The sequence below is a fragment of the Homo sapiens genome, chromosome 10 (assembly GCF_000001405.40).
Source record: "Homo sapiens chromosome 10, GRCh38.p14 Primary Assembly".
NCBI classification, from domain to species: domain Eukaryota; kingdom Metazoa; phylum Chordata; class Mammalia; order Primates; family Hominidae; genus Homo; species Homo sapiens.
The window spans coordinates 18,544,372-18,570,673 of record NC_000010.11 but is presented as its reverse complement, the minus strand read 5'-3'; the positions used below and the strand labels follow the sequence as shown (position 1 = coordinate 18,570,673).

General features: G+C 39.8%; 1 protein-coding gene across 20 annotated transcripts in view, besides 1 other annotated feature; it reads left to right on the top strand.

The window, feature by feature from the left end:
• Positions 1 to 25,113, top strand: part of NSUN6 (NOP2/Sun RNA methyltransferase 6) — a 113,767-nt gene extending 88,654 nt beyond the window's left edge. For 18 of the 20 annotated variants that reach the window (XM_024447884.2, XM_011519385.2, NM_001351116.2 and 15 more), the window contains 3 exons: positions 18,703 to 18,851; positions 22,437 to 22,562; positions 24,529 to 25,113. In XM_024447884.2, the coding sequence (XP_024303652.1) occupies positions 18,703 to 18,851; positions 22,437 to 22,562; positions 24,529 to 24,741 (488 nt within the window). In that variant the 3' untranslated portion in view covers positions 24,742 to 25,113. Of the gene's footprint in view, positions 1 to 18,702; positions 18,862 to 22,436; positions 22,563 to 24,528 lie in introns of those variants that run through there. The other 2 variants (XM_047424782.1, XM_047424780.1) reach the window with 1 other exon arrangement.
• Positions 17,621 to 18,122: an enhancer, noted in NCBI's record as "NANOG hESC enhancer chr10:18841481-18841982 (GRCh37/hg19 assembly coordinates)". NCBI's record gives its function as "activates a minimal SCP1, AML or CMV promoter by ChIP-STARR-seq in naive H9 embryonic stem cells {active_cell/tissue: H9 hESC(naive)}" and the evidence as "EXISTENCE:reporter gene assay evidence [ECO:0000049][PMID:30033119]".
• Positions 25,114 to 26,302: the final 1,189 nt, after the last annotated feature.

Below are 26,302 nucleotides of genomic sequence, written 5' to 3'. Positions count from 1 at the left end.
AGAATAGAATGGAATGGAATGGATGATGGTATGGAGAATGGAATGGAATGGAGAATGGAATGGAATGGACAGTGGAATGGAATGGAGAATGGAATGGACACTGGATTGGAATGGAGAATGGAAAAGAGCGGAATGGAATGGAGGATGGAATGGAGAATGGAATGGAAAGGAGGATGGAATGGAATGGAAAGTGGAACGAAATGGATTGGAGAATGGAATGGAATGGAGAATGGAATGGAATGGAGAATGGAATGGAGAATGGAAGGGAATGGAATGGAATATGGTATGGAATGGAGGATTAAATAGAATGGATAATGGAATTGAATATGGAATGGAGCATGGAATAGAATGAAATGAAGAATGGAATGGAGAATGGTGTGGAATGGAAGGGAAAATGGAGAATGGAATGGAATCGAGAATTGAATGGAATGGAATGGAGAATAGAATGCAATGGAATGGGATGGACATGAATGGAGAATGGAATGAAATAGAATGGAGAATGGAGTGGAATGGAATGGAGAATGGAATGGAATGCGAAATGGAATGGAATGAAGAATGGAGAATGGAATAGAATAGAATGGGCAGTGGAATGGAATGGAGAATGGAATGGAATGCAAATAGAATGGAATGGAGAATGGAATAGAATGGAATGAATAGTGGAATGCAATGGAGAATGGAATGGAATTGAGAATGGAATGGGGAATGTAATGGAATGGGGAGTAGTATGGAGTGCAATAGAGAAAGGAAAGGAATGGAATGGAGAATGGAAGGAAATAGAAGGGAGAATGGAATGGAATGGAGAATGGAATGGAATGCGGAATGGGATGGAATGGAGAATGGAATGGTATGGAGAATGGAATAGAGAATGGAATGGAATGGAGAATGGAATGAAATGCAGTGGTGAATAGAATGAAATGGAGAATGGGATGTAATGGAATGGAGGATGGTGTGGAGAATGGAATAGAATGGAGAGTGGAATGGAGAAAGGAATAGAATATGGAATTGAATGCAGTAGTGAATATAATGGAATGGAGAATGGAATGTAATGGAATGGAGGTTGGTAAGGAGAATGGAATGGTGTGGAGAATGGAATGGACAATAGAATGGAAGGGAGAATGGAAAGGACTTGAAAATGGAAAAGAATGGAATGGAATGGAGGATGGAATGGAATGGATAGTGGAATGAAATGGAATGGAGGATGGAAAGGAATGGAATGGAGGTTGGTAAGGAGAATGGAATGGAATTGAGAATGGAATGGGCAATGGAATGGAAGGGAGAATGGAATGGAAAATGGAAGAGAATGGAATGGAGAATGCAATGGAATGGAAAATGGAATGAAATGCAATGGTGAATACAATGGAGTGGAGAATGGAATGGAATGGAGGATGGTATGGAGAATGGAATGGACTTGGAAATGGAGGAGAATGGAATGGAACGGAGAGTGGAATGAAATGGAGAATGGAATGCAGAATGGAATGGAATGGAGAATGGAATGGAATGGAATAGAGAATGGAATGGAGAATGCAGTGGAATGGGGAATGGAATGGAGAATGTAACGGATGGAGAATGGAATGGAATGTGGAATTGAATGGAATGGAGAATGGAATGAAATGGAGAATTGATTGGAATGGAATTGAATAGAGAATGTAATGGAAGGGAGAATATAATGGAAAGGAATGGGGAAGGGAATGGAATGGAGAATGGAATAGAATGGAGAATGGATTGGAATGGAATGGAGAACCAAATGGAGAATGGAATGGAATGGAGAGTAGAATGGATTGGAATGGAACAGAATGGAGAGTGGAGAATAGAAAGGAATTGAATGTAGAATGGAATAGAGAATGGAATGGAATGGAGAACGGAATGGAATGTGGAATGGAATGAAGAATGTTAGGGAGACTGCAATGGAATGTGAAATGTATTGGAATATGGAATGCAATGGAGAATGAAATGGAATGGACAGTGGAGTGGAGAATGGAAGGGAATGGAATGCAGAATGGAATGGAAGTGAATGGAGAATAGAATGGAAAAGAGAATGGAATGGAATGGAGAATGGAATGCAATGGGGATTTGAATGTGGAATGGAATGCAATGGAAAGGGGAATGGAATGGAAAGGAGAATGGATTGGAATGGAATGGAGAATGGATTGGAATGGAATAGAGAATGGTTTGGAATGGAATGGAGAATAGAATGGAATGCAATGGAGAATGGAATGGAATGGAGATGGAGCTGGAATGGACAATGGAATGAAATGGAGAATGGAATGGAATGGAGAATGGAATGGAGAAAGGAAGGGAAGGGAATGGAATGGAATCGAGAATGCAGAATGAAATAGAATGGATAATAGAATGGAATGCGGAATGGAATGGAGAATGAACTGGAATGGAAAAAGGAATGGAATGGAGAATGGTATGGAGTGGAACAGAGAATGGTAGAGAATGAAATGGATAATGGACGGGAATGGAATGGTGAATTTTGTGGAATGGAGAATGGAATAGAATGGATAATGGAATGGAGAATGGAATGGCATGAGAAATGTAATGTAATGCAGAATGGAATGGAATGGAGCATGGAGTGCAATGAAATAGAGAATGGAATGGAATGGAACGGAAAATGGAGAATGGAGAATAGAATGCAATGGAGAATAGAATGGCATGCAGTGGTGAATAGAAAGGAATGGAGAATGGAATGGAATGGGGAATGGAATGGAGAAAGGAATAGAATATGGAATGGAATGGAGAATGGAATGGAAAATGGAATGGAATGCAGTGGTGAATAGAATGGAATGGAGGATGGTATGGAGAATGGAATAGAATGGAAAATGGAATGGAGTAGAGAATGGAATGTAAAGGAATGGAATGGAGAATGGAATGAAGAATGTAGAATGCAATGGAATGGAGAATGGAATGAAATGGAGAAAGGAATGGAATGAAATGCAGAATGGAATGGAGGATGGAATGCAATGGAGAATAGAATGGAAGGAGAATGGAATGGAATGCGGAATGGAATGCAATGAGGAATGGAATGGAATGGAGAATGGAATAGAGAATGGAATGGAATAGAGAATGGAATGGAGAATGGAATGCTATGGAGAATGGAATGGAACGGAATGGAGAATGGAAGAGAATGGAATGGAGAACGGAATGGGATGCAGTGGTGAATAGAATGGAATGGAGAATGGAATGGAATGGAGGATGGTATGGAGAATGGAATGGAATGGAGCATGGAATGGAATGGAGCATGGAATGAAATGGAGCATGAAATGCAATGATGGAGAATGGTATGGAATGGAATGGAAAATGGAATATGGAATGGAATGGAGAATAGAATGGAATGGAATGGAATGCATTGGTGAATAGAATGGAATGGAGGATGGTATAGAAAATGGAATGGAATGGAGAATGGAATAGAATGGAGAAAGGAATAGAATATGGAATGGAATGGAGAATAGAAGGGAATGGAATACAGTGATGAATAGGCTGGAAGGGAGAATGGAATAGAATGAAATGTAATGGAGGATGTAATGGAGAATGGAATGGAATGCAGTGGTGAATAGAATGGAATGAAATGGAGGATGGTATGGAAAATGGAATGGAATGGAGAATGGAATAGAATGGAGAAAGGAATAGAATATGGAATGGAATGGAGAATGGAATGGAGAGTAGAATGGAATGGAATGCAGTGGTGAATAGAATGGAATGGAGAATGGAATAGAATGAAATATAATGGAGGCTGGAATGGAGAATGGAGTGGAATGGAGAATAGAATGGACAATGGAAAGGAATGGAGAATGGAATGAATGGAATGGAGAATGGGAAAGAGTGGAATGGAATGGAGAATGGAATGGAATGAAAAATGGTATGGAATGGAGAATTGAAGGGAATGGGTAATGGAATGGAATGCAGAATCGAATGGAGCATCGAATGGAATGGAGCATGGAATGGAATGAAATGGAGAATGGAGTGGAGAATGGTGTGGAATGGAACAGAAAATGGAGCATTCAATGGAATGGAGAATAGAATGGAATGGGAAATGGAATGGAATAGAATGGAGAATGGAAGGGACTGGAGAATGGAATGGAATGGAGAGTAGAATGCAATAGAATGGAATGGAATGGAGAATGGAATGGATTGGACAGGAATGTAGAATGGAGTGGAATAGAATGGAGAATGGAATGGAATGGAGAATGGAATGGAATGGAGAATGGAATGGAATGCAGAATGGAATGGATTGCTGAACGGAATGGATTGTGGAATGGAATAGAATGAAGAAGAATGGAGAATGGAATGGAGAATGGAATGGAATGTGGAGTGGAATGGATTGCGGAATGGAATGGATTGTGGAATGGAATAGAATGAAAAAGAATGGAGAATGGAATAGAATGGGATGGAGAATGGAATGGAATGGAGAACGGAATGGAATGTGGAATGGAATGGATTGCGGAATGGAATGGATTACAGAATGGAATAGAATGAAGAATGGAGAATGGAATAGAATGGAATGGAGAATGGAATGGAATGGAGAATGGAATGGAATGTGGAATGGAATGAAATGTGGAATGGAATGGATTGTGGAATGGAATAGAATAAAGAATGGAGAATGGAATAGAGTAGAATGGAGAATGGAATAGAGTGGAATGGAGAATGGAATGGAATAGAGAATGGAATGGGGATTGTAATGGAATGGGGAATGGTATGGAATGGAAGAGAATGGAATGGAGAATGGAAGGGAATGGGAGGGAGAATGGAATGGAATGCAGAATGGAGAACGGAATGGAATGGAGAATGGAATGGAATGCAGAATGAACTGGAATGGAGAATAGAATGGAATGGACAATGGAATGGAATGGAGAATGGAATGGAGTGGAGAAAGGAATGGAGTGGAGAATGGAATGAAAGGGAGGATGGAATGGAATGAAATGGAGCGTGGAATGGAGATTGTTGTGAATATAATAGAGAATGGAATGGCATGGAGTGGAATGGAATGGAAGGAAGAATGGAATGGAATGTAGTGGAAAATGGGAAGGAATGGAGAATGGAATGGAAAATGTAACAAATGGAGAATGGAATGGAGAATGGAATAGAGTGCTGAATGGAATGGAGAATGGATTGGAATGGAATGCCACGGAGAATGGAGAATGTAATGTAATGGAAAATGGAGTAGAATAGAATGGAATGGAGAATGGAATGGAATAGAATGGAGACTGAACTGGAATGGAGAGTGGAATGAAATGGAGAATGGAATGGAGTGGAGAATGGTATGGAATGGAATGGAGAATGGTATGGAATGGAAGGGAATGAAATGGAGAGTGGAAGGGAATAGAATGGAGAATGGAAGGGAATGGAATGGAGAATGGAATGGAATCGAGAATGCAGAATGGAATGGAAAATGTAATTGATTACGGAATGAACTGGAATGGAAAACGGAATGGAATGGAGAATGGTATGGAACTGAGAATGTTATGGAACGGAATGGAGAATGGAAATAATGGAACAGAGAATGAAAGGGAATGAAATGGAGAATGGTATGCAATGGAGAATGGAATAGAATGGAGAATGGAATGGAACGTGGAATGGAGTGTAATGTAATGGAGAATGGAAAGGAATGGAATGGAGCATGGAAAGCAATGAAATGGAGAATGGAGTGGGGAATGGAATGGAATGTGATGGAATGGAAAATGGAGAATGGAATGGAATGGAGAATGGAATGGAATGAAGAATAGAATGCAATGAAATGGAATGGAATGGAGAATGGAATGGAATGAAGAATAGAATGCAATGAAATGGAATGGAATGGAGACTGGAATGGAATGGACAGGAATGGAGAATGGAATAGAATTGAATGGAGAATGAATTGAATAATGGAATGGAATGCAGAATGGAATGGAATGGAGAATGGAATGGAATGCAGTATGGTATGGAATGGAATGGAGACTGGAAGGGAATGGAAAGGAGAATGGAATGGAATGTAAAATGAAGAATGGAATGGAATGGAGAACAGAATGCAATGGAGAGTGGAATGCAGTGTGGAATGGAATGGAAGGGAGAGTGAGCTGGAATGGAGAATGGTACGGAATGGAGAATGAAATGGAATGAAGTGGAGAATGGAATAGAGAATGGAATGGAATGGACAATGGAATGGGGAATGGAATGGAGTGGAGAATGGAATGAAAGGGAGAATGGAATGGAATGAAATTGAGCATGGAATGGAGAATGGGTATGAATGGAATAGAGAGTGGAATGGAATGGAACGGAGAATGGAATGGAATGGAGTGAAAAATGGACGGGAGAATGGAATGGAATGGAGAATGTAACAGATGGAGAATGGAATGCAATGGAGAATGGAAAGGAATGCGGAAAGGAGTGGAATGGAATGGAGAATGGAATAGAGAATGCAGTGGAGTGGAGAATGTATGGGAATGGAATGGAGAATGGAATGTAATAGAGAGTGGATGGAATGTATTACAGTGGAGAATGAAATGGAATGGAATGGTATGGAATGGAAAATGGAATGGACTGTAATGGAGAATGGACTGGGAAATGGGATGGAATATAATGGAGAATGGAATGGAATAGAGAATGGAAGAAATGGAATGGAATCAAGAATGGAATGGAATGAAATGAAATGGAGAATGGAATGTAAAATGTAATGGAGAATAGAATGGAATGCAGTGGAATGGAGAATGGAATGGAATGGAGTGGAGAATAGAAAGGAATCGAGAATGGAATGGAGTGAAGAATGACGTGGAATGGAATGGAGAATGTAATGTAATGGAGGATGGAATGGAATGGAGAATGGAATGGAATATGGAATGGAAGGGAGGATTGAATGGAATGGAGTGGAGAGTGTAGTGGAATGTAATTTAATGTGAATGGAATGGAATGGAGAATGGAATAGAGTGGAATGGAGAATGGAATGGTATGGAGAATGGAATGGAATGGAGAATGGAACGGAGTGGAATGAAGAATGGAATGAAATAGAGAATGGAATGGTATAGAGAATGGAATGGAATCGAATGGAGCATGGAATGGAGAATGCAATGGAATGGAATGGAATAGAAAAAGCAATGGAATGGAATGGAGAATGGAATGGAAGGGAAGGGAGAATATTCCATTCCACTTTCCATTCTACTCTCCATTCCACTCTCCATTCTATCCCATATTCCATTCCACTCTCCATTCTATTCCATTCTCCATTCCATACCGTTCTCCATTTCATTCCCTTTCATTCTCCATTCCATTCCTGCCATTCTCCATTCCGTTCCATACCATTCTCAGTTCCATACCATTCTCCGTTCCATTCCATTCTCCATTCTAGTTCATTCTCTATTCTATTCCATTCTGTAATCAATTACATTCTCCATTCCATTCTGCATTCTCGATTCCATTCCATTCTCCATTCCCTTCCCTTCCATTCTCCATTTCATTGCCTTCCATTCCATACCATTCTCCATTCCATTCCATACCATTCTCCATTCCATTCCATACCATTCTCCATTCCATTCCATTCTCCATTTTGTTCCACTCTCCATTCCAGTTCAATCTCCATTCTATTCTACTCCATTCTCCATTCCATTCCATTCCATTCTGCATTCTCTGTTCCATTCCATTCCAATCAATTCTCCATTCCATTCAGCATTCTATTCCATTCTCCATTCCATTCTCCATTTGTTACATTTTCCATTCCATTCTCCATTCCTTTCCATTTTTCACTACATTCCATTCCATTCTCCATTCCATTCCATTCTTCCTTCCATTCCATTCTTCCTTCCATTCCATTCCACTCCATGCCATTCCATTCTCTATTCCATTCATAAGAATCTCCATTCCACGCTCCATTTCATTCCATTCCATCCTCCCTTTCATTCCATTCTCCACTCCATTCCATTCCATTATCCATTCCATTCCATTGTCCATTCCAGTTCATTCTCCATTCCATTCCATTTCGCATTCCATTCCATTCTCCATTCCATTCCGTTCTCTATTCTGCATTCCATTCCATTCTCCTTCCCATTCCCTTCCATTCTCCATTCCATTCTCTTCCATTCTGTATTTCATTCCATACCATTCCCCATTCCATTACAATCCCCATTCCATTCTCTATTCCACTCCATTCTCCATTCCATTCTATTCCATTCTCCATTCCATTCTATTCCATTCTCCATTCTTCTTCATTCTGTTCCATTCTACAATCCATTCCATTCTGCAATCCATTCCATTCCGCATTCCATTCCATTCCGCATTCCATTCCATTCTCCATTCCATTCCGTTCTCCATTCCCTTCTATTCTATCCTCCATTCTTCTTCATGCTATTCCGTTTCGCAGTCCATTCCATTCTGCAATCCATTCCATTCTGCATTCCATTCCATTCTCCGTTGCATTCCATTCTCCATTCTATTCCATTCCATTCTGCATTCCTGTCCAATCCATTCCATTCTCCATTCCATTCCATTCTATTGCATTCTATTCTCCATTCCATTCCATTCTCCAGTCCCTTCCATTCTCCATTCTATTCCATTCCATTTTCCATTCCATTCTATTCTCCATTCCATTCAGTGCTCCACTTTCCGTTCCATTCCACTCCATTCTCCACTTCATTCCATTTCATGCTCCACTCCATTCCATGCTCCATTCCATTCCGCATTCCATTCCATTATCCATTCCTTTCAATTCTCCATTCCATATCATTTTTCATTCCATTCCATTCTCCATTCCATTCCACTCTTTTCCATTCTCCATTCCATTCATTCCATTCTCCATTTCTTTCCATTGTCCATTCTATTCTCCATTCCATTCCATTCTCCATTCCAGCCTGCATTACGTTTCATTCTATTACATTCTCCATTCCATTCTATTCACCACTGCATTCCATTCCATTGTATTCTCCATTCCGTTCTCCATTCTATTCCATATTCTATTCCTTTCTCCATTCTATTCCATATTCTATTCCTTTCTCCATTCTATTCCATTCTCCATTCTATTCCATTCTCCATTCCATTCCATTCTCCATTCCATTCCATTTTCCATACCATCCTCCATTCCATTCCATTCTGTTCACCACTGCATTCCATTCCATTCTCCATTCCATCCTCCATTCCATTTCATTTCATTCTATTCCATTCTCCCTTCTAGCCTATTTATCACTGTATTCCATTCCATTCTATTCTACATTCCATTCTCCATTGCATTCTATATTCTATTCCTTTTTCCATTCCATTCCATTCTCCATTCCATTCCATTTTCCATACCATCCTCCATTCCATTCTGCATTCCATTCCATTCACCACTGCATTCCATTCCATTGTATTCTCCATTCCGTTCTCCATTCTATTCCATATTCTATTCCATTCTCCATTCCATTCCATTCTCCATTCCATTCCATTTTCCATACCATCCTCCATTCCATTCCATTCTGTTCACCACTGCATTCCATTCCATTCTCCATTCCATCCTCCATTCCATTTCATTTCATTCTATTCCATTCTCCCTTCTAGCCTATTTATCACTGTATTCCATTCCATTCTATTCTACATTCCATTCTCCATTGCATTCTATATTCTATTCCTTTTTCCATTCCATTCCATTCTCCATTCCATTCCATTTTCTATACCATCCTCCATTCCATTCTGCATTCCATTCCATTCTATTCTCCATTCCATTCCATACCCCATTTTCCATTCCACTCCATACCATTCTCCATCACTGCATTTCATGTTCCATTTTATTCCATGCTCCATTCCATTCTATGCTCCATTCCATTCCATTCTCCATACCATCCTCCATTCCATTCCATTCTCCATTCCATTCTGTTCACCACTGCACCCCATTCCATTCTCTTCCATTCTCCATTCCGTTCCATATCATTCTCCATTCTCCATACCATTCCATTCTCTATTCCATCTCCATTCCATTCTCTATTCCATTCCATTCTCTATTCCATTCTCCATTCCATTCCATTCCTCATTGCATTCCATTCCACATTCCATTCCATTCTCCATTCCATTCTCCATTCTCCATTCCATTCTCCATTCCATTCCTTTATATTCCATTCTCTACTCCATTCCATTTTCCATTCTATTCCATTCTCCATACCATCCTCCATTCCATTCTATTCACCACTGCATTCCATTCCGTATTCCATTCCATTCTCCATTCCATTCCATTTTCTATTCCTTTCTCCATTCCATTCCATTCTCCATTCCTTTCTATTCACCAGTGCATGCCATTCTATTCTCCATTCTCCATTTTCTGTTCCGTTGCCCACTTCATTCTCTATTTCATTGCATTCCATGCTCCATTCCATTCCATCCTGCATTACATTACATTACATTTCTCATACCATTCCATTCTCCATTCCATTATCCATTCTATTCCATTCTCCATTCCATACCATTCTCTATTCCATTGCCGTCCATTATCCATTCCATTCTCTGCCATTCTCCGTTCCATTCCATACCATTCTCCATTCCATTCCATTTTCCATTCCAGTTCATTCTCCATTCCATTCCATTCCCCATTCCATTCTATTATCCATTCTGCATTCTCGATTCCATTCCATTCCCTTCCCTTCCTTTCTCCATTCCATTCTCCATTCCATTCCATTCCATTTTCCATTTCATTCCATTCTCCATTCCAGCTCAATCTCCATTCCATTCCATTCTCCATTGCATTCCATTCTCTATTCCATTCGATTCTCCATTCCATTCCAAACCATTCTCTATTCCATTCCAGTCCATTCTCCATTCCATTCCAATCCATTCTCCATTCCATTCCATTCCCCTTTCCATTGCATTCCATTCCGCATTCAAATCCCCACTGCATTCCATTCCCCATTCCTTTCTCCATTCCATTCCATTCTCTTTTCCATTCTATTCTCCATTCGCTTCCATTCCATTCTGCATTCCATTCCCTTCCATTCTCCACTCCATTGTCCATTCCATTCCATTGTCCATTCCATTTCATTCTTCATTGCATTCCATATTCCAATGCATTACATTTCACATTCCATTGCCGTCTCCGTAAGATTCTTAATTCCATTCCATTCTCCATTCCATTCCGCATTCCATTCCATTCTCCATTCCATTCCATTCTCTATTGCATTCTCCATTCCATTCAATTCGTTTCTATTCTCCACTCTCCATTCTGTTCCATTCCAATCCATTCTACTCTCCATTCCATTCCATTCCATTCTCCATTCGATTCTCCATTCCATTCCAATCCATTCTCCATTCTGTTCCATTCTCCATTCCATTCCATTCCCCATTCCATTCCCCATTCCTTTCCATTATATTCTCCCTTCCATTCCATTCTCTATTCAATTCCATTCCAATCAATTCTCCATTCCATCCCATTCTCCATTCCATTTCATTCCATTCTCCATTCCATTCAATTCCACATTCTAATCCATTCTCCATCCGTTACATTCTCCATTCCATTCCCCATTCCATTGCATTCACCATTCCATTCTCTATTCCATTCCATCTTCCATTCCATTCTATTCTCCATTCCATTCCATTCTGCATTCCATTCTCCATTTCATTCCACTCTTCGTTCCATTCAATTCTCCTCCATTTCCAATTCCATTCCATTCTCCATTCCATTCCATTCTCCATACCATCCTCCATTCCATTCTTCACTCCATTCTATTCACCATTGCATTTCATTCCATTTTCCATTCCATTGCATTCTCCATTCCATTCTTTTCCATTCTCCCTTCCATTCTCCCTTCCATTCCATTGTCCAGTCCATTCTCAATTCCATTCCATTCTTCACTCCATTCTATTCACCATTGCATTTCATTCCATTTTCCATTCCATTGCATTCTCCATTCCATTCTTTTCCATTTTTCATTCCATTCTCCCTTCCATTCCATTGTCCATTCCATTCTCAATTCCATTCCATTCTCCTTAACAACCTCCATTCCATTCCTTTCCATCCTCCATTCCATTTCATTCCACTTTCAATTCCATTCCTTCCGCCATTCCATTCCATTCTTTTCCATTTTCAATTCCTTTCCACTCTCCCTTCCATTCCATTCTCCATTCCATTCTCCACGCCATTCTGTTATCCTTACCAACCTCCATTTCATTACATTCCATTCTCCACTCCATTATATTCACTACTGCATTCCATTCCATTCTCCGTTCCATTCCATATTCTATTCCTTTCTCCATTCCATTCCATATTCTATTCCTTTTTCCATTCCCTTCTCCATTCTATTCCATTCTCCACACCATCCTCCATTCCATTACATTCCATTCTCCATTTCATTCTATTCACCACTGCATTCCATTCCATTCTCCACTCCATTCCATTCTCCATTCCATCCCATTCCTCATTCCATTCCATTCTGTTCTCCATTCCATTCCATTCTCCCTTCCATTTCCTTCCATTCTCCATTCCATTCCCTTCCATTCTCTATTGCACTCCATACTACTCCCCATTCCATTACATTCCCCATTCCATTCTCCATTGCATTCCACTGTGCATTCCATTCCATTCCATTCTCCATTCCATTCTTCATTCCATTCTATTCGCATTCCATTCCATTCTCCAGTCCATTCCACTCTATTCCATTCTCCATTCTTCATTCCATTCCATTCTCTATTCCATTCTGCATTCCATTCCATTCCATTCTCCATTCTATTTCATTTCATTCTCCATTCATGTCCATCCCATTCAGTTGCATTCTATTCTTCATTCCATTCCATTCAATTCTTGATTACCTTCCATTCTCCATTTTCCCTTCCATTCCACACCATTCTCCATTCCATTCTTCATTTCATTCCATTCCATTCCACGCTCCATTCCATATTCCATTCTATTTTCCATTCTATTTAATCCTCCATTCCATACCATTTTCCATTCCATTCCCTTCCATTATCCATTCCATTCTGTTCCATTCTCCATTCCATTCTATTCTCCATTCCAGTTCATTCTCCATTCCATTCCATTCTCCATTCCATTTCATTCCGCTTTCCATTCCATTCCATCCTCCTTTCCATTCCATTCTCCATTCCATTCTGCTCTTTTCCATTCTCCACTCTATTCCATTCTCCGTTCCAATCCATCTTCCATTCCATTCTCCATTCCATTCATTCCACTGTCCATTCCATTCTCCATACCATCATCCATTCCATTCCATTCCATTCTCCCTTCCATTCTATTCTCCATTCCATTCCATGCTCTATTCCATTCCATTCTCTATTCCATTCCATTCTCCATTCCATTTCATTCCATTCTCCATTCCATTCCATTCTCCATTCCATTCCATGCTCCCTTCCATTCCACTCTCCACTCCATTTCATTCTCCATACCATCCTCCATTCCATTCTGTTCACCACTGCATTCCATCCGCTTCGCCATTCGATTCTCTTCCACTCTCCACTGCATTCCATAGCATTCTCCATTCCATTCCATTCTGCATTCAATTCCATTCTCCATTCCATGTTCTCTTTTCTCCATTGCATACGCATTCCATCCTCCACACCATTTTCCATTCCATTCTATTCACCACTGCATTCCATTCCCCATTCCATTCCATTCTCTACTTTCCATTCCATTCTGCACACTATTCTCCATTTCATTGCATTCCATGCTGCATTCCATTCCATTTTCCATTCCATTCCACTTTCCATTCCATTCTCCATTCCACTATCTATTCTATTCCATTTTTCACTGCATTCCATTCTCCATTCCATTCCCTTCCATTCTCCATTCCATTCCCTTCCATTCTCCATTCCGTTCCATACCATTCTCCATTCCATTCCATTTTCCATTCCATTCCCTTCCTTTCTCCATTCCATTCCCTTCCTTCCTCCATTCCATTCCCTTGCATTCTCCATTGCATTCCACTCTCCATTTCAGTTCAGTCTCCATTCCATTCCATTCTACCTTCCATTCCATTCTTCATTCCATACCAAATCCTTCTGTATTCCATTCCAATCCATTCTCCATTCCATTCCCTTCCCCTTTCCATTCCATTCGCATTTCAATTCCCCATTCTATTCCATTCCCCACTCCATTCTCCATTCCGTTCTCCATTCCATGTCCATTCCATTCCATTGTCTATTCCATTCCATTCTCCACACCATCCTCCATTCCATAACATTCCATTCTCCATTTCATTCTATTCACCACTGCATTCCATTCCATTCTCCGTTCCATTCCATTCTCTATTCCATTCTCCATTCCATTCCATTCCATTCTCCATTTCATCCCATTCTGCATTCCATTCCATTCAGTTCTCCATTCCATTCCATTCTCCCTTCTGTTTTCTTCCATTCTTCATTCCATTGCCTTCCATTCTCTATTGCATTCCATACTACTCCCCATTCCATTACATTCCCCATTCCATTCTCCATTGCATTCCACTGTGCATTCCATTCTATTCCATTTTCCATTCCATTCTTCATTCCATTCTATTCGCATTCCATTCCATTCCACTTCCCATTGCATTCTATTCCATTCTTCATTCTTCATTCCATTCCACTCTGCATTCCATTCCATTCCATTCTCCATTCCATTCCATTCTCCATTCATGTCCATCCCATTCAATTGCATTCTATTCTCCATTCCATTCCATTCAATTCTCGATTCCATTCCATTCTCCATTTTCCCTTCCATTCCACACCATTCTCCATTCCAGTCTTCATTTCATTCCATTCCATATTCCATTCTATTATCCATTCTATTTAATTCTCCATTCCATACCATTTTCCATTCCATTCCCTTCCATTCTCCATTCCATTCCATTCCATTCCATTCTCCATTCCATTCTATTCTCCATTCCAGTTCATTCTCCATTCCATTCCATTCTCCATTCCATTTTTCTCCATTCCATTTCATTCCACTTTCCATTCCATTCCATCCTCCTTTCCATTCCATTCTCCATTCCATTCCGCTCTTTTCCATTCTCCATTCTATTCCATTCTCCATTCTAACCCATTGTCCATTCCATTCTCCATTCCATTCCACTGTCCATTCCATTCTCCATACCATCATCCATTCCATTCCATTCTGTTCTCCATTACATTCCATGCTCCATTCCATTCCATTCTCTATTCCATTCCATTCTCCACTCCATTTCATTCCATTCTCCATTCCATTCCATTCTCTATTCCATTCCATGCTGCCTTCATTCCATGCTCCCTTCCATTCCATTCTCCATACCATCCTTCATTCCATTCTATTCACCACTGCATTCTATCCCATTCTCTATTCCACTCTGTTCCATTCTCCAATGCATTCCATAGCATTCTCCATTCCATTCCATGCTCCATTCGATTCCATTCCATTCTCCATTCCATTCCATTCTCCATACCATTCCATTCTCTATTCCATTCCATTCTCCATTCCACTCTATTCCATTCTCCATTCCATTCCATTCTTCATTCCATTTCATTCACATTCAGTTACTTTCCTCTATACTCTCCACTCTATTCCATTTCATCCTCCATTCCATTCCATATTCCATTCCATTCTCCATTCCATTCCATCCTCCATTCCATTCCATCCTCCATTCCATTCTCCATTACATTACATTCTCCATTTCCTTTCATGCCATTCTTCACTCCATTCCATTCTCTATTCCTTTCTATTCTCCACTCCATTCCATTCTCCATTCCATTCCATTCTCCATTCCACTCTCCATTCCACTGCATTCCATTCTATTCTCCATTACATTTTCCATTCCAGTGTCCATTCCATTCTCCATTTCATTTCATTCCATTCCATTCCATTCTTGATTCCATTCCGTTTCTTCCATTCTCTATTCCATTCCATTCTCCATTATATTCCATCCCATTTCCCAGTCCATTCTCCATTCCATTCCATGCCGTTTTCCATTCCATACCATTCTATTCCATTCCATTTCATTCTCCATTGTAATACATTCCATCCACTCTCCATTACATTCCATTCTCCATTCCATTCCCATACATTCTCCACTCCACTGCATTCTCTCTTCCATTCTGCATTCCATTCAGCATTCCATTCCATTCTCCATTGCATTCCATTCTCCATCTGTTACATTCTCCATTCCATTCCATTCTCCAGTCCTTTTTCCACTACAGTCCATTCCATTCTCTGTTCCATTCCATTCCACTCCATTCCATTCAATTCTCTATTCCATTCATACCCATTCTGCATTCCACGTTCCGATTGATTCCATTCCATTCTCCCTTTCATTCCATTCTCCACTCCATTCCATTCCCCATTCCATTGTTCATTCCATTCCGTTGTCCGTTCCATTCCATTCTCTATTCCATTCTCCATTTCATTCCATTCTCCACTCCATTCCATTTCATTCTCCATTCCAGTTCACTCTCCATTCCATTCCATTCCACATTGCATTCCACTCTCCATTGCATTCTGTTCTCCATTCCATTCCATTCTTCTTTCTACATTCCATTCCATTCTCCTTTCCATTCCCTTCCAGTCTCCAGTCCATTCCATATCATTCTGCATTCCATTCCATTCCCCATTCCATTCCATTCTTGATTCCATTCCATTCCGCATTCGTTTATCCAATCCATTCTCCATTCAATTCTATTCCCTTCTCCATTCCTGTCCATTCCATTCCAGTCTCCATTCCATTGCATTCTATTCTCCATTCCATTCCATTCTCCATTTGAGTTCATTCTCTATGCCATTCCATTCTGTAATCAATTACATTCTCCATTCCATTCTGCATTGTCGATTCCATTCCATTCCCTTCCATTCTCCATTCCATTCCATTCCATACCGTTCTCCATTCCATTCCATTCCATTCTCCATCTCATTCCACTCTGCATTCCAGTTCAATCTTCATTCTATTCCATTCCATTCTCCATTCTATTCTATTCTACTCTATTCTCCATTGCATTCCATTCCATTCTCCATTCTCTATTCCATTCCATTCCAATCCATTCTCCATTCCATTCAGCATTCTATTCCATTCTCCATTCCATTCTCCATTTGTTACATTTCCATTCCATTCTGCATTCCTTTTCATTTTCCACTACATTCCATTCCATTCTCCATTCCATTCCATTCTTCCTTCCATTCCGTTCCACTCCATGCCATTCCATTCCCTATTCCATTCAAAACAATCTCCATTCCACACTCCATTTCATTCCATTCCATCCTCCCTTTCATTCCATTCTCCACTCCATTCCTTTCTCCGCTCCATTCCATTCTCCATTCCATTCCATTCTCCATTCCAGTTCATTCTCCATTCCATTCCATTTCGCATTCCATTCCATTCTCCATTCCATTCCATTCTCCGTTCTGCATTCCATTCCATTCTCCTTCCCATTCCCTTCCATTCTCCATTCCATTCTCTTCCATTCTGCATTTCATTCCATACCATTCCCCATTCCATTCCATGGAATGGAGAACGGAACGGAATAGAGAATGGAATGGTATGGAGGATGGAATGGAATGGAGAATGAAATGGAATCGAATGGAGCATGGAATGGAATGGAGAATGCAATGGAATGGAATGGAGAATGCAATGGAATGGAATGGAGAATGGAATGGAAGGGAAGGGAGAATGGAATGGAATGGAGAATCGAACGGAATGGAATGGAGAATGGAATCGAACTGAAGATGGAATTTAATGGAATGGAGAATGGATTGGGAAATGGAATGGAGAAGGGAATGGAATGAAATGGAGAATAGATTAGAGAATGGAGTGGAATAGAATGGAATGGAATGGAATGGAGAATGGAATGTAATGGAGAATTGAGTGGAGAATGGAATGGAGAGTCGAGTGTAGTGGAATGGAATGGAAGGGAGAATGGAATGGTGAATTGAGAATGGAATGGTATGTGGAATGCAGTGTAGTGTAGAATGGAATGTAATGGAGCATGGAATTGATTAGGGAATTTGAATGGAGAAGAATGGAATGGAGAATCAAATGGAATGGAGAATAGAATGGAGTAGAGAATTGAATGGAGTGGAATGGAGAATGGAATGGAACGCAGAATGGAATGGAATGGGGAATGGAATGGAATGGAATGGAGAATGGAATAGAATGGGGAATGGAATGGAATGCGGAATGAAATGGAATGCGGAATGGAATGGAAATCTTGGTAGCAGGTAGACAGCCCAAATATGTAAACAGACCACTTGGTTTCACACCTTCCTCCAATAATATTAAATAGATTAGAAGTTAGAGAAAATTACTGAAGTGAATGCAAAGGAAAACTTCGTGGAAGATTGAATCTAGGGGTGGTACTGGCTCATTCTCCCTATTCTAGACCATAGCCATTCTCATGGCCACAGAAACAAGGAGACTCAGGAACACAGAATCAGTGTGTTTCACAACAGTCAAACAGGCATTTTCTTGGGGGCTGTCTTCAATAGGAATTACCAAGAGAAGTATCCATTTCCAGAACAACTAGAATTAATTCCAAGTCCTAGCTTTGATGAGTTGTGGCTTCTGAAGTTTGGGGTAGAAGGTCTTTTGTGATTAGGCCTTGGTTTGTACTATATCAACAGAATAACTTTTCAACTATAACTACATTTTAAACCTTTCTACCACATCAAATCTGTATTAGGTATAAGTCAAAATTAGTTTAACCAGCTACTTGATTGAAGGGAGAAATTGTTTCATTTTTTTATTCTAGATTATGATTTTAAATTCCTGCTCATCTCAGGAGTTTTCTAGTTTAAACCTATATGGAAGATAGTAAACATGATTATAATTCTCTTTATAGGAGAACCTCCATTTCTACCAGAATCCTTTGACCGAATTCTTCTGGATGCACCCTGTAGTGGAATGGGACAGAGACCAAACATGGCCTGTACTTGGTCTGTGAAGGAAGTGGCATCATATCAGCCATTACAGCGAAAACTCTTCACTGCAGTATGTGGTGGTCTGTTTTTGTGAAACAAAGTTAACTTTTGCTACTTTGATGTTTAAACTACTGACAGCAATCTCCATAGCAGCGTTCATTACAATAGCCAAAAGGTGGGAACAACCCAAGAGTCTGTTGACAGATACATGGATAACAGAATGTGCTATATCCATACATGGAACATTATTCAGCCTTCAAAGGGAATGAGATTCTGATACAGGCACAACATGGGTGAACCTGGAAAACATTATGCTCAGTAATATGAACCAGACACAAAAGGAAAAATGCTTTAAGATTTTGCTTATATGAGGTAGCTGGGAAATTCACAGAGACAGGAAGAAGAATAGATACTACCAGGCATTGTGGGGCTGGGAGATTGAGGAGCTATTGTTTAATGGGTATAGACTTGCAGTTTGGGATAATGAAAAAGTTCTGGAGATGAATGGTGGTGATCATTGCCCAGCAATGTGACTGTACTGAATGTCATTATTGACTTAAAATGGCTAAAATGATAAATTTTATGTTATTTATATTTTACCACACACACACACACACACACACACACACACACACACACACACACACAACTGAGAGGACCTAGTTTTAAATATAGGAAGTTTTCATTTAAGTTGACTCACCTTTAAGATATACAGGCAATAGTAGAATTTCATCACTGAGATATTTAATAAATTTCAAATATTCTCTATCTGAAAAAAGTCACTGAGTTGTTAACTTGTAGTTACTAATTGATGTAAAGAATTAGATATAAAATAAATTACTCTTTTTTTTAAAAAAATAGAGTTATTGGCTAGTATGGTGGCTTGCGCCCATCATCTCAGCACTTTGGGAGGCTGAGGCGGGCTGATCACCTGAGGTCAGGAGTTCGAGACCAGCCTGGCCAACATGGCAAAACCCCGTCTCTACTAAAAATACAAAAAATTAGCTGGGTGTGGTTGTGGGCGCCTGTAGTCCCAGCTACTCGGGAGGTTGAGGCAGGAGAATTGCTTGAACTCGGGAGGCGAAGGTTGCAGTGAGCTGAAGTCATGCCACTGCACTCCAGCCTGGGCAACAGAGTAAGATTGTCTCAAAAAAAAAAAAAAAAGAGATTTTTTGGGGGTCGTCTTTAGAAGAAGGCCCAATAGGGAGCAAAACTCATTGATAAAAACAGGAAGAGACAGTGGCCAGCGTAGGATATAGGAGAACCATAAAAACTGTACAAATTTAACTTGTCTCCAGCACTTTCAGAAGCCCAGATAGAACATTTGAGGATTTCTCCTAGTCTTTCAAAAATGACTCAGTGGATTTCAGCGTGTATAGGCAGTGTTTGATCATAGATGAATTCATTATTTCCTCCCAGCCCTCCAAAATACAAGGCTAGAGCAACAATGGATGTTCTATAATGATTTAGTTTCTAAAGCTGCCTTTGAGTACATTCTGATTCAACTCTCCTGGTGTTTCCTTTCATATACAAAGGTAGCACTGGTTGTGTATTATTTAACTTCGTCTTTTTCTATGAAGTCTTCGAAGAACTCATCCTCAGAATTAAAACAGCAAGCAGCAAAAAGGAAACTTTAGTTACAGCCGAAACCCACTTTGACTTGAGAATAAAATTAGGATACTTCTGTAAAGGACTTGGATTTCTGTTCTTATTAGGTCACAGCAAAAATGGTATTTTAAAAGGCTACTAGGAGTAGATGAATGATCTCAATGAGAAGGAAAAGCTGACAGTATATCAGAGAGAACTAGAATATAGCAGGTTTGCCATTTGGCATGGAGAGAAATCGAGAATGTGGACTTGAGCCTTGTTGACTTGAGCCATGGCTCTTCCACCTAAGTGACTTTAGGTACATTGTTTTCTATATCTGAGTAGCAGGGATAACAGCTCTACCTATTAGGAATACCTCATTGGTGATAGTCATCTTACTTTGTGGTTGTTATAAGGATTTATTGAGAAAAATTCATATACAGTGTTTCACACAGTAACTGGCACATAGTAACAAAGTTTAAATTTTGATCAGCATACTCTGATTTAAAAAGCACAAGTATGTATACTCTATTTTTAAAGATTTCCTTTAAATTTTTAAAAATTAGGAGCTTGAAAAGCTGAACTTTAGGTATTTCAGACAAGTCCATTTTAGCACAATACCTTATCTCCTGATTAATTTATTCAACAAATACTCATAGATCTCCTGTATGTAAGACGCTATTCTAGATGTTGACGGTACAGCATTGAGAAAGTGGACAAACACTCCATGCCCTTATTCACGAGGTTTCCATTCTAACTAGGAAAGGAAATAAATAAATGAGTTTTTTAGTATATTAGAAGGCAATAATGCAATGGCCCTATGGAGCAAGCTAAAGGAACTGGGGATAGGAGTGTTGGATTGGAATAGTTGCAAATCTACAGAGTGCCCGGGAACGTGACATACATGCAAAGATAAGGAGTAAGCAGTGCAGGGAATTAAGAGAGCTTTCCCAACTGCTGCAAAGATTCTGAGGTGCCAGTGTGTCTTGTGTGTTCCAGAAACAGCAGGAGGCCAGTGTTGCCAAAGTCAAATGGGCCAGAGTAAGAGGTGTACAGGAGGAGGTCAGAGAGGCAACAAGAGACTTGTTTATGTCTGACCTCAAAGACCTCTGTAAGGACTTTGTCTTTGACTCTAAGTGATCATGTAAGGACTTTGACTGTAAGTGATCATGGAGGACATGTGAGGGGCTTGGGGCTGAGAAGAGACAAGCTTAAAAGGACTGCTTTGGCTGCTGTACTGAGACTAGATTGCAGGAGGGCAGGGAATAAAGCAGGTTGATGAAGTAGGAGGCGGTTGGAATAATCCAGGCAAAAGATAAAGAGGCTTGGACCACAATGATAGTGGAAGTGGTGAGAAGTGGCCAAATTCTGGCTAGAATGTGAAGGTAGAGCCAATAGGACTTGGTGATGTTTGGGGGAGTCAGAAAAAGAGGCATAAAGGAAAATCTGAGGTTTGGGACCTGAGATTCTGGAAAGATAGGAAAACTTCTGCAGTGGATTTCAGAGGGAAAGTAGGAGTTCATTTTGGGACATGTCAAGTTTGATAGTATTATAGAAATGTTGAGAAGGGCCAGACCCATGGCTCACGCCTGCAATCCCAGCACTTTGGGAGGCCAAGGTGGGAGGACTGCTTGAGCCCGGGAGTGTAAGACAAGACTGGGCAACAGTGAGACTTCATCTCTATTTAAAAAAATAAGAATAAAAAAGAAATGTTAAGAAGCCAACTGAACATTTAAGTAGGGAATTTAACAAGTTGATGTGGCCTAAAAATGTAAATTTGTGAGTTTTCAGCATAAAAAATGGTATCCAAAGGCATGACGGTGAATGATTATATTTGGGGAAGTCTTGGTCCATCTGGAGTATGACAGTTCCAAGATAATGAAATGCACCTAGTCTAGGCTGCAAGTGTTGCTCTTGCATACTCTAATTACAGAAGGAATCCTTGTCACATAGAACATCATTTTATTTATCCCAAACATTTGAAAGACATTATACCTTTTGCTTTGAAATTCATTCATATGTTTATCTGGTCTTGTGCTGTGTGTGGTCTGATCACAGTTTTCTTTAGGCGGTTCAGCTGCTGAAGCCAGAGGGTGTGCTGGTTTATAGCACGTGCACTATAACACTGGCCGAAAATGAAGAACAGGTTGCCTGGGCCCTGACAAAATTTCCTTGCCTTCAGCTTCAGCCCCAGGTAGGAGTAATTTCATTTTTCTCTGTGTAATAAGATAAATCACAGAAACTGAAGCACTGTGGTAATCAGGGTGTTAACGAAGAGATAAGTAAAACTTCCAAAGTGAACACTGTAATAAACAAGAATGCTTATCTAATTAAATCCACTTTAGACTGCCCATAATTTGCATGTCCTGACAAAGTTTTTTCTCATCTTTGTTCCTGCCATTGTGTTAAAATGGCACAGAGCTTGGGAGTGTTTTTGTTATGTGTTTATTCCCCTTGTAGCTATTCATGTTACTCGGCACCTTTTTTCTAAAAAGATTTTTTTCTCCTTCCCAGTCCTGTATTTTTCTGACATGGAAAATGTTGAGCATTTTCTCTCATGTCACATCAAAGCTCAAATGAGCTTTAATAACTGTGGGATATCAGAAGACCAGCTGAAAGGGAAAAAAGTATTTCTGGATTATTGCTTATTATATAAAATGTATAATATTTAAAAAGCTTTGCTATACTTTCTTTTACCTAACACAACTCTTTATGTTATGGTCTTTATTAGAAATGTATTTTTGATTCAATTTTTAGTCCAGGATATTTGAGATTAAGTTTAAATCTGTAATAATGCTCGCATACATTCAGATACATTGAGCATCTAACTTTAGTACCTTTCTATACAGAAATTAGGTAATGGGAATACATAAATAAAGACAATTCAGAGATGGTTTCTAGTCTCGTAAATTAAGATAATTACATTGTAGATGAAAGGAAGACTTCGGAATTCATTTGGAAATATACACACACTCAAAATATATACCTAAAAGGGATGGGAAGTTTTCCCCTGACCTCCATGGGATAATAAACGATCTGTTTTCTTAAGTATATGTCTGAAAACCTATCTTCATTAACATGCAGATGATTGTCTGTGATGGTGACTTAGGATTATAGATCTTCTTCAGTAGTTTGCAAGTATCATTCAATGCCTTATGATTCCTCTAAACTAATTGATACAGCCTTAAATTATGTTTCCTTTCTTATGTTTGTTTTTCTAGAAACTTTTCTCGCCCAACTGGTATGGGTCAGAGAGAGGTACCTTAGATGCCCAAAGACCACCTTTCAGTTTTGGAAACTGTTAAATAAAGCTGAATTTTTTCTGTTGCTTTCTTTTTTCTTTTTTCTTTTTTCTTTTTCTTTTTCTTCTTCCCCTCCCCGTCCCCACTCCCTTCCTTCTCTTTTCTTTTCTTTTCTTTCATTTTTTGTTTTTTGAGATGGAGTGTCACTCTGTCGCTCAGGCTGGATTGCCCAGGCACAATCTTGGCTCTCTGCAACCTCTGTCTCCCGGGCAATTCTCATGCCTCAGCCTCCCAAGTAACTGGGATTACAGGCATGCACCACCACACCTGGCTAATTTTTGTATTTTTGGTAGAGACAGGGTGTCACCTTGTTGGCCAGGCTGGTCTTGAACTCCTGACCTCAGGTAATCAGCCCGCCTCGGCCTCCCTAAGTGCTGGGATTATAGGTGTGAGCCACTGTGCCTGGCCTTTGCTGCTTTATTGATAATAATGTTCCATTTACTGAGTCCCTGCTATATGCCAGGTGTGATACCACCTTCGTTACTTAAGCCTTGTTTAATAGATGAGGAAATGTGGTTAGTTAACATTACCTAAAGTCACACAGCTAAAATGTGGTAGAGCTGCAATTTGAGTCCACTTGTTTCCAACTAGGAAGCTCAGGCCTTTGATAATGTCACAGTGTTTGATAAGCATGTAATAATAGGTATTTGTTCATCAGGTGACGCATAGTATTGCTTTCCTACTTTACTGTCTGGAAAGCAGCACGTATGTTCCACCAAAATGAAAGGCATTTACTCATTTTTCTATTTTTGGAAGATGTAGTCGTTACAGCCCAATTTGTCTTTTAACTTAAATTGTAGCAGTCATACTTGCTAATTACAGGATGTTCATCCATATTGATCCACTTTCTCCAAACAGGAACCGCAGATTGGAGGAGAAGGAATGAGGGGAGCTGGGCTCTCATGTGAACAGTTGAAACAGCTGCAGCGATTTGATCCATCGGCTGTGCCATTACCGGACACTGACATGGACTCTCTTAGAGAGGCCAGAAGAGAAGACATGTTGCGTCTGGCTAATAAGGACTCTATAGGTTTTTTTATTGCAAAATTTGTAAAATGCAAAAGCACATAGGAGAGGGATGGATGCTCAGAAATGAAAATTCCAAACATTTGCTGTCTGTGGTTTTTTTTTTTTTAACCAAAGTGTTGTCAGGCCAACTGAATGATGATGTGGTTGCTATGGAAACAGAAAAGGCTGCCAGCTGTTTTACCAGGGATCCAGAGACATAGAGGAAGTAGGGGGTGGTATGAGATTATATTTTCTGTTTTTAAAAGATTTTTTTTTTTTATGTATTTAGTAGAGTATAAAGAAAAGCAGATGCCTATAGATGTCTGGAGCATATTTTCATTTGTGATCTAATGTTTTAATTTGTAAAGTGTACAAGTCATTTTTAATGTTAAAAATTAGTGAATCTAACAAAAGGAATAAATTAGCAATATTTGATGTGGTTATGAAAAGTTGTTTTTGTTTCTAGGTTCCTAGTTTCTTAAGGATTCAGGGCATGGGAAGTAAAACATTGACTATGTGCCAATAATGGAGGTAAGTATTTTACCTGACTCTCTGTCTGCTTATTTAGTAAGTCAACCCCCTTTCAAATGAAGTCTGGACCTCCTCTGAATGATAGTGTGAAGTGATAGTCTAAAGACTATCGTAGTCTAAATGGTAGTCTATGTTCAATGTTTTTCATAATTTTAAACGAAAAAGTAAAGTTAGTATTTTCTTTACTTTGTAGATTTAGAAAATGAGATTATTCTACAATTTGGATAACTTATCATGTATTTGAAACATATCAGTTATTAGAAAATGCTTGGTGAGAAAGAAAAAACCAGCTCTGGCAGCTGGGAAGTGGCCTGACCTGACCCTTATAGCTGGGCCTTGGTGTTCTCCTGTTGAACGTAAGCAGTTTCACCTATCCCCAACATCAGACAAGGCAGCCGTACCTATCATAGATCCAGACAAAAAAAGACCACAATCAAGTCTGAATTCAGACAAAAAGCAGATCATCCTTCGAATTGCAAAAATCAAGCATCCCACTGTAGTGGCCAAAATAAGTGACTGCTTTTCAATTTAATTTTACTTTTTAAAGACAAGGTCTTGCTCTGCCACCCAGGCTGGAGTGCAGTGGCATGATTTCATAGCTCACTACAACCTCAAACTCCTGGGCTAAAGCAATCTTCCTGCCTCAGTCTCCCATGTAGCTAGGACAACACAGTTGTGTGCAACCATGCTTGGCTAATTTTTTTTTTTTTTTTTTTTTAAAGAGATGGGATCTTGCTTTGTTACCCAAGCTGGTCTTGAACTCCTGGCCTGAAGCAGTCCCGCTGCCTTGGCCTTCTAAAGCACTGGGATTACATATGTTAGCCATTGCACCCAGCCAGCTTTTAAAAAAAACATTACAGCCTTAGGATTTTGCCTTCCTATTGGCTTTTTAGATCAATCAGAATACTTACTTCCCAGCCATAGTTTTAAGGCTGTCTCATGGTGTTAAATCCATCATACTGTTTTGTTAACTTTCATTCAAATCACCCAAAAGTTATTAGGCCTTGGGCTTAAGAAATGGACAATTGGTTAATAGTTTGATTTCCGCCCGCCCCCCCGCCCCGCCCTCCACAGGTTTTCTTTAGGAATTTCT